This window comes from Homo sapiens, chromosome 17, assembly GCF_000001405.40.
Source record: "Homo sapiens chromosome 17, GRCh38.p14 Primary Assembly".
Taxonomy (NCBI): domain Eukaryota; kingdom Metazoa; phylum Chordata; class Mammalia; order Primates; family Hominidae; genus Homo; species Homo sapiens.
In genome coordinates this window covers 78,526,479-78,541,268 of record NC_000017.11, presented here as the reverse complement: position 1 = coordinate 78,541,268, position 14,790 = coordinate 78,526,479, and the positions used below count along the sequence as shown (strand labels likewise).

The 14,790-nt window shown below is 53.2% G+C and overlaps 1 protein-coding gene and 1 pseudogene across 5 annotated transcripts in view, besides 1 other annotated feature; both read left to right on the top strand.

The window, feature by feature from the left end:
• DNAH17 (dynein axonemal heavy chain 17) overlaps window positions 1-14,790 on the top strand; it is a 153,700-nt gene that overhangs the window by 36,128 nt on the left and 102,782 nt on the right. For 4 of the 5 annotated variants that reach the window (NM_173628.4, XM_011525416.3, XM_047436981.1 and 1 more), the window contains exons 18-24: window positions 1,389-1,532; window positions 3,788-3,970; window positions 8,533-8,787; window positions 10,757-10,926; window positions 11,575-11,797; window positions 14,273-14,389; window positions 14,532-14,618. In NM_173628.4, the coding sequence (NP_775899.3) occupies window positions 1,389-1,532; window positions 3,788-3,970; window positions 8,533-8,787; window positions 10,757-10,926; window positions 11,575-11,797; window positions 14,273-14,389; window positions 14,532-14,618 (1,179 nt within the window). The remainder of the gene's footprint in view (window positions 1-1,388; window positions 1,533-3,787; window positions 3,971-8,532; window positions 8,788-10,756; window positions 10,927-11,574; window positions 11,798-14,272; window positions 14,390-14,531; window positions 14,619-14,790) is intronic. The other variant, XM_024451013.2, reaches the window with a different exon arrangement.
• Window positions 7,702-8,901: an enhancer, noted in NCBI's record as "MED14-independent group 3 enhancer chr17:76528450-76529649 (GRCh37/hg19 assembly coordinates)". NCBI's record gives its function as "activates an origin of replication core promoter dependent on BRD2, BRD4, P300/CBP and CDK7 cofactors, and independent of MED14, by STARR-seq in HCT116 cells {active_cell/tissue: HCT116}" and the evidence as "EXISTENCE:reporter gene assay evidence [ECO:0000049][PMID:35650434]".
• RN7SL454P (RNA, 7SL, cytoplasmic 454, pseudogene) lies at window positions 8,214-8,456 on the top strand (annotated as a pseudogene).

The following is a 14,790-nucleotide window of genomic DNA, read 5'->3' as shown; positions in this document are numbered from 1 at the left end:
ACCCCCCCACCCATCTGCTCACCCCCCCACCCACCCATCCGCTCACCCCCCCACCCACCCATCCGCTCACCCCCCCACCCCGCTCACCCACCCATCTGCTCATCCCCCCACCCCGCTCACCCCCCCACCCCGCTCACCCCCCCACCCCGCTCACCCCCCCACCCCGCTCACCCACCCATCCGCTCACCCACCCATCCGCTCACCCACCCACGCCACCCACCCATCCGCTCACCCACCCACGCCACCCACCCATCTGCTCACCCACCCATCCGCTCACCCACCCACGCCACCCACCCATCCACCCATCCACTCATCCACCGATCCACCCACCCACCCACCCACCCACCCATCCACCCACCCACCCACCCACCCACCCATCCATCCACCCATCCACCCACCCATCCACCCACCCATCCACCTACTTACACATCTACCCACCCCATTCATCTGTCCACTCATCCACCCACCCCACCCACCCATCCACCCACCCCACCCACCCATCCACTCACCCCACCCACCCACCCACTCACCCATCTACTCACACATCTGCCCACCCCATTCATCTCTCCACCCATCCACCCATCCATCTGTCCATCTACTCATACATCTACCCACCCCGTTCATCCATCCATGGACTCACACACCTACCCACTCTATTCATCTATTCATTCACCCACCCCACTTATCCAGCCACGTACCCATCCATCCACTCGGCCACCCACCCACCCATCCACCCATCCACTCACCCACCCACCCAGTCACCCACCCACCCATCCACCCACCCACTCACACATCCACATACCCACCCACCCACCCACCCATCCATCCATCCATCCATCCATCCACCCACTCACCCATCTACCAACCCCATCCATCCATCCAGCTATCCGTCCACCCCATTCATCTGTCCATCCACCCACCCCACCCACCCACCAGCCCCTGCTCTGTGCTAGGCCTACTGCTGAGTGCTGGGGGTACAGTGGTGGAGAGGATGGTCAACCTTCACCTTCATGAATTTGGGCATCAAAAGGGCATGCAGACCAAAGACAAAGACAAATAAAATAATTCTGAGTGGCCCTCTGAGCCATGGTAGGCATAAATAACAGTTTGCTAGAGGAAACCCAACTAGAGATGGAGGATTCCTTTGGGAGGAAGGGACATTTGAGCTGAAATCAAAAAGATTGGAAGCCAGACCCAGCAAGAAAGTGAGGGAGCAGCCGTGCAAAGCCTCGAGTAGGAAGGCGGCCAGCACCAGCAAGATGCTCAAAGCAGCCCCGTGTGTCCGGCGTGTGAACATGGACGGGCGGTCCAGAGAGGCACTAAACAGTGTGATCAAAGAGCAAGCACAGCCAGTGAAGTGAGGCCCAACTGTGCGCTTCTGTTTGCAGGAAAACGCAGAACTATTCAGGGCAGACACACTGAGCCTGCCCTGGAAGGATTATGTCATCTACATTGACGACATGGTCTTAGATGAATTTGACCAGTTCATTCGCAAATCTCTGAGTTTCCTAATGGACAACATGGTTATAGATGTAAGTTATCAACATAAGGTAATATATTTATGTATATGTATTCTTATCTGTTAGAATCTATAGTTTCTAGTTTCTTGATGAACAGGCTATCATTTTATAAATAGACTTATTAAAATATATCTTATGCAATCTACTTGACCTGGTTTTAAACCTGGAAGTCCTGCATTCCAGAATCCCCTCAGTCCCAGGCACTCAGGACCACTGGTCACTTTAAATCTGCCATAACATAAATTGGCTGCAGAAAACCTCAAGAGACCTAAGAGGCTGGTCCTGCCTCACTGCCAGGTGAAGGAAAGTGGACACCACTGCCCCCTACTCATGTGGATTGGGGGGAGGGTCTCCTGTCAGCAACAACAGCCACTCACCTACTTGATTATATACGGCTGAGTAGAAGGTAAACCAGTCAGCAAAGAGGTTGTGCTGGTTAATCCCATGGAGGCATGCTTTCCATGGCAATGGCCCCTTTCCTACCTGTATCTTCTTTTTATTTTATTTTTTTATTTTTTTGAGACAGAGTCCCGCTCTGTTGCCCAGGCTGGAGTGCAGTAGCATGATCTCAGCTCACTGCAAACTCCACCTCCTGGGTTCAAGCAGTTCTCTACCTCAGCCTCCCAAGTAGCTGGGATTATAGGTGCCCGCCACCACGCCTGGCTAATTTTTGTATTTTTAGTAGAGGCAAGGGTTCACCATCTTAGCCAGGCTGGTCTTGAATTCCTGACCTCATGATCGACCAACCTCGGCCTCCCAAAGTGCTGGGATTACAGGCGTGAACCACTGTGCCCAGCCCTGCATCTTTTTTGTTGAGATGGTTTCTAAATGATTTTGAGTACCGCCAGGAGGCCAAGATCAAAGGCTCCCCCAGGCTACCAACAACAAAGGAACGTGGCAGTGTCGTGCCCTTGTACCGACCAGGGAGGGTGGATGGTGTTTGAGTCTGGCATATGGGTCTCAGATGCCAGCTGGTAACCAGTCACAGACCCAAAATTCAGTTGACGAAAGTACTCGTCACTACAGACTGTCCCAGTGAAAGCGTCTCAACAAAAACCATAAAGAAGTCCCAGTAACAAAGGGTTCTCCTCAAAGAGTTCCAGGGAGTCCTCCTACTTTGTGAGTAGCCTGGGGGCAGGAGCCGACCTGAGTCTTTAGAGAAGTCTGGTCACACAATTGACCGTTTGTCCCAATTAGCACCTCACTCAGATACTGATACAGCCCCCTCCTGCTCATAGACAAATTGGGGGGCTCAAAAGCTCATAACCCACAGGTCCAATGGGGACTCATTCAGGGGGAGATCAGTGGCCACAGTGTGATCTCACAGCCTGGTGGATCCTGGCCCACATTTTGAGAATCGTTAGTTTGGCAGGAAGAGCACTTGGGTTCTCAATCCCATCACTGTAAACCAGAGCAGCACCTGCAGCCCTGCAGCCTCACAGGGGCCTCCAGAACTCTGTAAACGGGGACTTCCAAGGGAGAGGGACAGGCAGGCTTGGCCAGCCCCTGCAGTACCTGCTTTGTGTGTCAGTGATTCATTTAGCCCCTGTAGTAACCCAGAACAATGGAAACAATGTCTCCATTCTTTTTTTTTTTTTTTTTTTTTTTTTGGAGACAGAGTTTTGCTCTTGCCCAGGCTGGAGTGCAATGGCACAATCTCAGCTCATTGCAACCTCCGCCTCTTGGGTTCAAGCGATTTCCTGCCTCAGCCTCCCGAGTAGCTGGGGTTCCAGACACCCACCACCAGGCCCAGCTAATTATTTTGTATTTTTAGTAGAGACGGGGCTTCGCCATGTGGGCCAGGCTGGTCTCAAACTCCTGACCTCAGGTGATCCACCCGCCTTGGCCTCCCAAAGTGCTGGGATTACAGGCATGAGCCACTGCGCCTAGCCAACAATGTCTCCATTCTATAAAATATTTAGCCTCATTTTATATATTTGGGGAAACTGGGAGTTAAGTGACTCCCCAAGGCCTCAGAGCTGGCAAGTAGCAGGTGTGGGCTTTGAACCGAGGTCTGAGTTCTACCTGATCCTGCCCCTCCCCTTGCCCCAACCTGCCCCTGCCTGCTTTTGGCCTTGTGGCTGTACATTTGGCTCTGTAGCGATTGCTCAAGGAGCGGGGTGCGCTGAGACACGAGCTCTCAGAAGCTTCCCAGATAAGTGGAAGGCAGTGACACATTGATGGTACGGAGTGGATGATCAGGGCACTGAGAATCATCCGATGGAGGACAGAGGTGTTGACCACTGCCAACCCCACCCCTCTTTCAGGAGAGTATCGCTCCCCTGTTTGAGATCCGCATGGAGCTGGACGAGGATGGGCTGACCTTCAACCCGACCCTGGAGGTGGGCTCAGATCGCGGCTTCCTGGCACTGATCGAGGGCCTGGTCAACGACATCTACAACGTAGCCAGGCTCATCCCTCGGCTGGCCAAGGACAGGATGAACTACAAGGTCAGTCCTGGCCTCTTCTGGCCGTACACAGGGTCATCCATTGCTTTCCCCATTTGGTGTTGCCGCCCTAACTCGGCAAGGCTTCGCCGTTTACCTTTTCTTTTTTTCTTTTTTTTTTTTTGAGACGGAATCTCACTCTGTCGCCCAGGCTGGAGTGCAGTGGCGCGATCTTGGCTCACTGCAACCTCCGCCTCCTGGGTTCAAGCCATTCTCCTGCCTCAGCGTCCCGAGTAGCTGGGATTACAGGCACCCGCCACCACACCCGGCTAATTTTTTTATTTTTTTTTAGTAGAGACTGGGTTTAACCGTGTTAGCCAGGATGGTCTGGATCTCCTGAACTCATGATCCACCCGCCTCGGCCTCCCAAAGTGCTGGGATTATAGGCGTGAGCCACCGCGCCCGGCCCTGCTTACCTTTTAAATGACATCGTGTGACCTCTAGGATGACATGGCCACTTCTCTCCCCACTCCCACATCTGTCGTCCTTCCCAAAGCAGCTTCTTCTCAGTCAACCTGCCTGGGTTTCATTCCCTCATCATCCTTCCAACCCCCCGACACGATGCCAAGAGGGTAACCTTTCCCAACTTCCTGACTGTTCACTCAGTCCTGTAATTTTTTTGAGACAAGGTCTCACTCTGTCACCCAGGCTGGAGTGCAGTGGTTCAATCTCGGCTGACTGCAGCCTCTGCCTCCCGGGCCCAATTGATCCTCCCGCCTCAGTCTCCCAAGTAGCTGGGATTACGAGCATGCATCACCAAGCCCAGCTTGGTGATGTATTTTTTTGTAGAGATGGGGTTTTGCCATGTTGTTGCCCAGAGTGGTCTTAAACTTCTTAATTTTTTTATTTTTTGAGACAGAGTCTTGCTCTGTTGCCCAGGCTGGAGTGCAGTAGCATAATCTCAGCTGACTGCAACCTCCGCCTCCTGGGTTCAAGCGATTCTCCTGCCTCAGCCTCCTGAGTAGCTGGGACTACAGGTGCATGCCACCATGCCTGGCTAATTTTTCTTTTTTTTTATATATTTTTAGTAGAGACGGGGTTTCACCATGTTGGCCAGGATGGTCTCAATCTCCCGACCTTGTGATCCACCCGCCTTGGCCTCCCAAAGTGCTGGGATTACAGGTGTGAGCCACCGTGCCCGGCCTCAGTCCTGTAATGTAAACACTGATTCTCCCAGTACTCAGGCAATTTGACAAATGTGCCTCCCACTGCCTTCTGAAATCATCTCGTCTAAACGCATCAAACAAGACACACGGAGAGCCTGGCCAGGCTCTGGGGTAGGAAGGACAACAAAAGTCATGGGAAATTCAGCTCCCCGCTTAAGGGAGGTTTGAGGTGGTGTGTTTGTCAAAGCACCTATTTGTATAGCAATAAAAAAAAATCTGAAAAGACTTAAGTGACCTAAATGTTTGTGGAAGAGGGGAGTGGCTTGACCAATTCTGGCCCAAACCCAGATTCTGTGAATTGTCACAATGAGCCAAGGATGGAAAGGTGTTGTGACAGGTTATTAGACATTTATCAAGTTACAGAACAATGTTTAGAATATGGTTTCATTTGCTTAAACAAGCAAAAATCTGGGTGAGTGCTTACCAGGAAGGGAGGAAGGAGGGGAGGGGAGAGGGATGTGGCTGCAGGCGTTTCCTCTCATGCATTTCTGCGTTGTTTGAATTGTAAAATAATGGACACGTATGATTTGTCATAACATATATTTACAGCGAGATGAGCTGTCCTGTCCAGGAGGGAGGGATGTGCGTGTGCTCGTGTGTGTACGCGTGTGCTTGGATGCATATGTGCCCGTGTGCGTATTTGCATGTGTGGTGGGGAGGCATGCTTGTACAGAGGTGACATGAGGACACGAGGGAACAGCTAATGACCTGAGAAGGTCAAGGACAGCTCCTGAGAGGAGTGGGCGTGTGAGCGGATTCTGGAAGGGTGGGAGGAGGTTTCCATGCTGAGAAGATGGCTGTGATTTTAGGCCCAAGTGCAAGCAGCAAGCTGTTCCAGAGTTGAGAATAGAATTTGCCCCAGTTATGCAGACGCTAGGTTAGCACATGTCCTCAGAATCAGTGTGTCCCGGGTGTGCCCCTCCCACTGTCCCCAAAGCAGGCTGCTCTTGGGCACCCACGGTTGCTGCAGACAGAGCTGCTCCACCCCTGGGCTCTGCCAGCACAAACACTCAGGCTGCCTTGCAGACACCCTGGGACGCTCAGGCAGAACATTCCAGAGCTGAAGGGCCTGTTGCCCAGGAGAAGGGTCCCTCGAAAGCCTGCTGGTCTAGCAGAGTCTTACCTGGTGCCAAGCTGTGGAAGACAATGAGAGAGTCAGGCATCTAGACTGCTGGGTCCCAGGGCCACTTCCCAGAGACCCAAGTACCCTAGCTTGGTGGCAGAGAGTACCCAAGGGATGCTTCCCATGGGTACCAGGGTGGCCAACCCAGAGGAGTTGGGTCAGGACAAGGAGGAGATAGAATGTGGGCCCCAGGCTGCCACAGGGATTTAGAGAGCTGAGCTGCCCACAGGGGACACCAGCAAGGGGCAGAGACCCCAGGCAGCAGGTCTCACCTGCCTCTGGTATGCCAGGCTGCCACCAGCCCAGCCCAACTGGAACTTGGATCCCACCTGGGGAGATCCAAAGGACTGCAGGGGACAATCTCAGCTGGAGCAGGTAGATGCCTGGAAGTTACAACACTGAAATCCAGAAGCACCTGCCTGTGCTCTGAACACTGCACTCCCAACCCTGAGCAGAAAGAGGGGCCATGAGGAGGGGTGGGAGCCAAATGTCAGGCACAGGCGAGCCCATGGCTGAATTCTGAAGCACACACCAAATGCTTTCCTGCAGCCACGAGGAGCTTCAGGTTTCTCTCCCCTGTGGCTTCTTTCCATCCACAACTTACATGCAGGGTGGCCCGGCCCAGCCCTAGGGCCAACCTTCCCCTTCCATCCCAGCCCCACTGACTTCACCTCCTCAATTACACCGTTTCCTCGTGCCACCCCTTACCAACGAGGTCCCCTGCACAGACAAGATCTCCATGCACATCTGGGTCCCGATGGGGCCTCTCTGCAGCTGTCATGTGGGCTCTGGGCTATAGGCTGTCTTCAGTTGTCTGGTACCTGACCCTGGGTGATTTAGGGCAGGGGAAATACTGGCTTGGTGTGAGAGTTGGGTAAAGGGGAGTGGTTGAGGGTCGGCTGGTTTGCATATGCATGCCCCCAGATGAGCCTTTTGCTATCTCAAAGAATTGCCTAGCCCTGGGAAAGGCCGGCTCTTCCTGGCCCATAAGGTTTTTTTATTTTATTTTTTTAAGATGTCAAAATTGGGCTGGGCGCATTGGCTCACGCCTGTAATCCCAACACTTTGGGAGGCTGAGGCAGGTGGATCACCTGAGGTCAGGAGTTTGAGACCAGCCTGACCAACACGGTGAAACCCCGCCTCTAATAAAAATGCAAAAAATTAGCCAGGCATGGTGGTGGGAGCCTGTAATCCCAGCTATTTGGGAGGCTGAGGCAGGAGAATCACTTGAACCTGGGAGGCAGAGGGTGTAGTGAGCTGAGATCGGGCCACTGCACTCCGGCCTGGGTGACAGACCGAAACTCTGTCTCAAAAAGAAATAAGATGTCAAAATTTCATAAGATGCAGACAATAAAAATGTGATTAATACACACACCGACCACCTTGGGATTCTCCAGTCCTGTATATAAGCCAACGAGTTCTCTCTTTGCTTAACCAGTTTGGGTTGGGTTTTCTGTCACTGGCAACTAAAAAGATCCGTATAGCACTGGCCTCTCGTGCTCTCTGCTCTAGCCACCGACAGTAGACTTCCTTTAGTTCCCCTAACACGCTGCCTCCTCCCACCACGGGGCCTTTGCACGTGCTTTGCTGTTGCCAGGAAAGCCGCTTCTCTTGCTCCTTGTCTACCCATCCATCAGCTCTCAGACCAATGGCCATTTCCTCGGGGCCATTCCCTGACCTGCTCCCCATTTCACCTGAAGCAAGGGGGAGGGTGGAGATGCTTTTTTCTGTGATTCTTTGATGAATGTCAGACCCCATTCCTGGGCTGTACACTCCCTGCCTGTGCCCCAGTATCTATCCCAGCATGTGGTACGCAGTGAGAGCGAGCTATCGAATGAATGAATCAATGTGTGAGTCATCTCGGGGTTCCCCAGACAAACGTCACACTTGGCATACCTTCCCATGGCAGAATATTGCAAATCGGCAAAGGTTCCTATTTCCCGTGGTGAGAGCTTGGGCCAGGCACAGTGGCACGTGCCTGTGGTCCCAGCTACTTGGGAGGCTGAGGCAGGAGGATCGCTTGAGCCCAGGAGTTCTGGGCTGTAGTGTGCTATCCACTAAGTTTGGCATCAGTATGGTGACCTCCCAGGAGTGGGGGACCACCAGGTTGCCTAAAGAGGGGTGATCGGCCCAGGCTGGAAAAAGAGCAGGTCATCATGAGAGATTGGAAGCCCTTTCGCCAACAGAGAACCACTTCTCAAGGCCGAGAGGACAACACCTAAATTATGAACCAGGCAACATACCTCCCCTTTTTGCTTCTCCCCTGCCCCTTTCAGATGGACCTGGAAGATAACACAGACCTCATAGAGATGAGGGAGGAGGTGTCCAGCCTGGTCATCAATGCCATGAAGGAGGCCGAGGAGTACCAGGATTCCTTTGAGAGGTACTCCTACCTCTGGACGGACAACCTGCAGGAGTTTATGAAGAATTTCCTGATATATGGGTGTGCAGTCACTGCGGAGGACTTGGACACCTGGACAGATGACACCATCCCCAAGACACCGCCCACCCTGGCTCAGTTCCAGGAGCAGGTGCGTGCAGACCTCACCCACCAGCCTCCTTGTCTCCAGAGTCTTCCAGGAGAGGATCACCAGGCTTGCTTTAAAACTTGGGTGAATTGTTTTAAGATGCAGGTTTCCAGGTAGGGCAAGGCAAACATCAGGAGGTGACCACCATTAGAAAGGCAGTTTGTTACTTACAGTTCCCAAGAAGGGGGCATAGCACACCACACAGGCCTGCACGGGGTAGCATCAGGGTCAGTCAGGAGGCAGAGGGAGCTGGGGAAAATGTGGGGAAAATAAAGAGCCTTTATTGTGGCTTCCAGGGAAGGAATGGGCAGAGGTCACAGGCTTAGGGTTGGCAAGTTTGAATAATTTCAGCAGGCTCTAGGCTATAGGGGCTGTCTGGTACCTGACCTCAGGGAGATGAGGGCTGAGGGCTAGTGGGTAGCAGCCCAGAAGGTAAAACCCTGTGAGAGCCCCATCAAGGGGATGGTCGGAGGTGTGGGCTCCGGGTTGGCTCATTTGCATATGAAACCACACCCCCAGGTGAATTGTTTGTTGTCTCTCAAAATTGACTAGGCCTGGGAGGGGTCGTCCATGGGCAAGGCCCCAGATGTCAGAGCATGAAGAACACAGAAAATCACACCTGTCAGTGTAATAACCTCAAATGTAAATGGATTCAATTCCCCACTTAAAAGATATAGATTGTCTGAATGGATGAAGGTAACCCCAATATATGCTGCTTAGAAGAAACTCACTTCACCTGTAAAGACAGATTGAATGCAAAAGAATAGAAAAAGAGATTCCACACAAACAGAAACCAAGAACAAGTAGGAATAACTATAGTTACATCAGATAAGACAGACTTTATGTCGGCCGGGCGTGGTGGCTCACGCCTGTGATACCAGCACTTTGGGAGGCCGAGGCGGTTGGATCGTGAGGTCAGGAGATCGAGACCATCCTGGCTAACACGGTGAAACCCCATCTGTACTGAAAATACAAAAAATTAGCTGGGCGTGGTGGCAGGCGCCTGTAGTTCCAGCTACTCGGGAGGCTGAGGCAAGAGAATGGTGTGAACCCAGGAGGCGGAGCTTGCAGTGAGTCAAGATCACGCCACTGCACTCCAGCCTGGTGACAGAGCAAGACTCCATCTCAAAAAAAAAAAAAAAAAAAAGACAGACTTTATGTCACAAACAGTAAAACGAGACCAAGAAGGTCACTATGTAATGACAAAAGGATCAACTCAGCGAGAGGATTTAACAATTCTACATATCTATGCGCCCAGCACCAGAGCACCCAGATATATAAAGCAAACAGTGGTAGATCTAAAGGGAGAGACCCCAGTACAGTAACAGTTAGGGTTTTCAACACCCTGCTCTCAGCGTCAGACAGATCATCTAGACAGAAAATCAGCAAAGAAACATTGGAGTTAAACTGCACTTTAGATCACAGGGACCAACAGACAGCTACAGAACACTTTACCCAACAGCTGCAGAAAGAATGCATAAAATAAGAAAACATAGTTAACGCACAAACCTCTAGCTCTGTTCCCAATGCACAGTGAGAAAGAGGGCCCCGTGGGCAAGGGTGACCCATGCCCAGGGGTACATTCTGTAGCACAGGGTTGGGGCAGCAGGAGGAGTGACAGAGGCCTCAGGTAGAAGGATGAGCTAGGGATGCCCTTTAGGAGCCTGTGACCTGGTTCACCTCTTGAAGCTTCTGTCCTACCCAGCTTCAGAAGTCCTGCTGCCATGACCCCTTCTGCCCCTTTCTGATGGACTGGCACCTTCTGGGGCTAGACTCTGGGGCTGGAAGGAACAATAACTTGGAATGAGGGCCCCCATGTGTCCCGTACTGCCCTTTGCTGACCCTGGCCCCAGAGTGGCCGGCAGGTGAGCAGCGCAGGTGCAGTGCAGGAAGGCCCTGGACTGAGGCCCTGTGCTGACGCCCCCCCTAGGCTTGCAGGCTATGACAGGCCGCCGGTGGCCGTGTTTTCCAGATCGACTCCTACGAGAAGCTGTATGAGGAGGTGTCCAAGTGCGAGAACACCAAGGTGTTCCACGGCTGGCTGCAGTGCGACTGCCGCCCCTTCAAGCAGGCCCTGCTCAGCACAATCCGGCGCTGGGGCTTCATGTTCAAGCGGCACCTGAGCAACCACGTCACCAACAGGTGGGTCCCCAGCCATGTACTCGGGGAGCCCAAGGAATGTGCAGAGCACCAGGGAGTGGCCTTCCACTTGAGTGGGTGGCATTTGTCAGGTGCCTCCTCTGGGGTAGCAGGGGGTGGAGGCTGGGCTTCAAGGCCAACTACCCCACCAAGCGTGAGCAGAAAGGTGTCACCGGGCTGCGAGCAAACATTATCCCTTCTCCAAACCCGGTGTACCGAGCACCTGCTCTGTCCGGGTGCCAGATGCGGAGGAAACCAGAAGTCTGTCAGGGAAGGCTGGCGCTGAACAAACAGACTGGCAGCTGTGGGATTATAGGCGGCCATCAGGGCCATGATGGGCACAGTGCCAGGAGAGAGCATTGCCTGGCTGAATTCCATCCGGGAGGCTAGTGAAGGCCTCTGGGATGTGGCCGTAGCTTGGGACTTGAGGATGGGCTTGAGCTAAGTTGCTGAGGCTTGGGGTGATGTCTGGGCAGGGGCTGAGTGAGCTGGAGGGATCCAAGGTGGGCAGGGGCGCTCCCTCCCCACCTGGGGCCTTCAGTGATGGCCAGTTGACCTCACCGCGGTCGTCCCCCTCTCATGGGGCTCCGTACCATCAAGGGTGGGCCTAAGGGGGGCTGGGGCCACACAAATGGTCCCCTTGTCCCTTAGCCTGGCTGACCTGGAAGCCTTCATGAAAGTCGCCAGAATGGGCTTGACCAAGCCCCTCAAGGAGGGGGACTATGATGGGCTTGTGGAGGTGATGGGGCACCTGATGAAAGTCAAGGAGAGGCAAGCAGCCACCGACAACATGTTTGAGCCCCTGAAGCAAACCATCGAGCTGCTCAAGACCTACGGGGAGGAGATGCCAGAGGAGATCCACTTGAAGCTGCAGGTACGTGGTGGGTGGGTGTGGCTGCGTCCAGGTGAGCAGGGAGAGCCATCCCGGCCGCGACCATGGACCAGCCCATCAAACGCAACCATGGGGGATGCTGTGGGCTAGATCCTCTCTGGACATCAGATCCCCATGGAACAGGGAGGTGCAGGGAGGAGGTTTCTGGGGGACAGGAGACCCTGGGGACTGCCTCCACGGTGAGGCCAGTGCTCCCTCCGTTCCATTGGTGTTTTGTTGGATTAAAAATGTCTTCATTGTAATCCCAGCACTTTGGGAGGCCAAGGTGGGCAGATTGCCTGAGCTCGAGTTTGAGACCAGCCTGAGCAACGTGGGAGAAAGCCCATCTCTACAAAAATATAGAAAATTAGCCAGCTGTGGCTGGCTAGTGTAGTCTCAGCTACTCAGGAGGCTGAGGCAGGAGAATTGCTTGAACCAGGGAGGCAGATGTTGCAGTGAGCTGAGATCGCACCACTGCACTCCAGCCTGGGCGACAGAGATTCTGTCTTAAAAAAAAAAAAAAATACAAAATGCCTTTATGTCCCATGTCTCCTCCTGAGTGTCTGGTGGGAGTGCTGGTGGAGGTGGGTGCCAGGATGGTGGAGAGAGAACAAGGTCAGGGGGACCCTGGGGAGGGATTAGGCAGCTGAAGGGGGCGGGGCTGGCAGCTGCGTTTGCACAGCACTTGATAGCGAATTCAAAGAACCTCAGCTGTCAGCGTGGAGGGGTGTGTGCAGGCTGGGCGAGGGTGGGAGGATGGAGAGGGTGTGTCCTAGAGCTGCCTCCCAGCCACGTCTAGGTGTGGCCACCGAGGAGACCCCGCTCCCTCATCTCTTGAGTCTGGCCTGGAGTTTCCAACTCCTCCCAGCCCGTCCACCCCTCCTCCCGCCCTCTCCCCTTCTCTGTGTCCAGCCACAGACAGGGCCCACCCTCCTGTCTTATGCACCGACTCCAGACAGTGCCCAAGACCCCACAGCCCTGGGGGTGACAAGAGGGAGGGGCCCCGGCCTGGGCAGCACAGGAAAACCCTGTCTCTACAAAAAATTTAAAAAATTAGCCAGGCATGGTGGCGCACACCTGTAGTCCCAGCTGCTCAGGAGGTGGGAGGATCAGTTGAGCCCAGGAAGTCAAGGCTGCAGTGATGTATGATTGTACCACTGGACTCTAGCCTGGGTGACAGAGCCAAGACCCTGTGTCAAAAGAAAGAAAATAAAAGGACTGAGCAGGTTCTCAGCCGTCCCACCCTGAGGTGCTCCAAGCCACACACGAGGCAACTGGGGTAGTAAAAATGCAGACAGAAACCATACAGCCAGCAACCATAGAAGAACTAGAGAAGTCTCCACTGCAGGCAAAAAGTTCATGGGCTGGGATTTTTTTTTTCTTTAAAATATTTTATGGCCCGGTGTGGTGGCTCATGCCTGTAATTTCAGCACTTTGGGAGGCCGAGGCGGGCAGATTACTTGAGCCAAGGAGTTCAAGACCAGTCTGGGCAACATGGCAAAATCCCATCTCTACTAAAAATTTAAAAATTAGCCAGGCGTGGTGGCAGGCGCCTGTAATCCTAGCTGCTCGGGAGGTTGAGGCATGAGAATCACTTGAACCCAGAAGGCAGCGGTTGTGGTGAGCCAAGATCGCACCACTGCACTCCAGCCTCAGCAGTAGAGTGAGACTCTGTCTCAAAAATGAATAAATAATAATTAAATATTTACAACTATAGTATTTACCCAAGTGTGGGGAACTTGGGAAATACCAAAATTCATCTGATTGTTGCAGCCATTCTGGAAATGACAACATTATAGAGCTGGAGAAGAGCTTAGCGGTCCCCAGGGGCAGGATTGTGGTGGAGGGATAGAAAGGGAATTCCTCTGTTGTAATGGACAATCCATATCTTGATTGTGGCGGTGTTTGCACAAATCCATACGTGGGATAAAATTGCATGGGAGACCACACCCACACCCACACCCACAAATGGATTCAGGTTTAAAAACATGATGAAAGGTGAGTACATTCTCTGGTCTAGTTAACAGAGACACCAATGTCAATGTCCTAGTTCGCCATTAAGGAGGCTGGTTTTTGTTTTTGTTTTTTTGAGACAGGGTCCCACTCTGTCACCCAGGCTGGAGTGCAGTGGTACAATCTTGCTCACAGTAGCCTCTGCCTTCCTAGTCCAAGTGATCATCCCAGCTCAGCCTCCTGAGTAGCTGGGACTACAGGCCCATATCATCACGCCCAGCTAAAAAGAATTTGTATTTTTTGTAGAGATGGGGTCTCACTTTGTTGCCCAGGCTGGTCTCGAACTCCTGGGCTCAAGTGATCCTTCCATCTCAGCCTCCCAAAGTGCTGAGATTACAGGTGTGAGCCACCGCGCCGGCCCCTGCACTGTTTTTGCAGCTTCTTACCAGTCTCTAATTATTTCACAATAGAAGGTTTAAGAAAAGAAATGAGAAAGGAGCCCTCCTCTGCCTTTGCTTCCCGCAGGAGCTGCCGGAGCACTGGGCAAATACCAAGAAACTGGCCATTCAGGTGAAGCTGACCGTGGCACCACTCCAGGCCAACGAGGTCAGCATCCTGCGGCGGAAATGCCAGCAATTCGAGGTATTATACCTGGGGCAGGGTGGCGGGATTTCCGGGGAGCAGCGTGGGGCTCACCCAGGGCCCTGCGGCATACAGGGTGGGGCCACCCTTGGGGCAGGTGGCCGCCCCGTGACTCTCTGTACTTTGCACTCTTCTCTCGCAGCTCAAGCAACATGAGTTCAGGGAGAGGTTCAGGCGCGAGGCCCCGTTCTCCTTCAGCGACCCCAACCCCTACAAGTCCCTGAATAAGGTATTTTTGCTCAAGGGTGAGATCAGGGGGTAAGTCTGGGAACCCCACTGCTTTCTTTTCTCAAGTAGTTATCCTTTCAAGTCCAGAAACGTGGTCTCCGCCGGACTGACCTTGGGGCCGTGCACGAGTGCTCTTATGTGTATGCATGCACATACGTGTGCGAGCACATGCA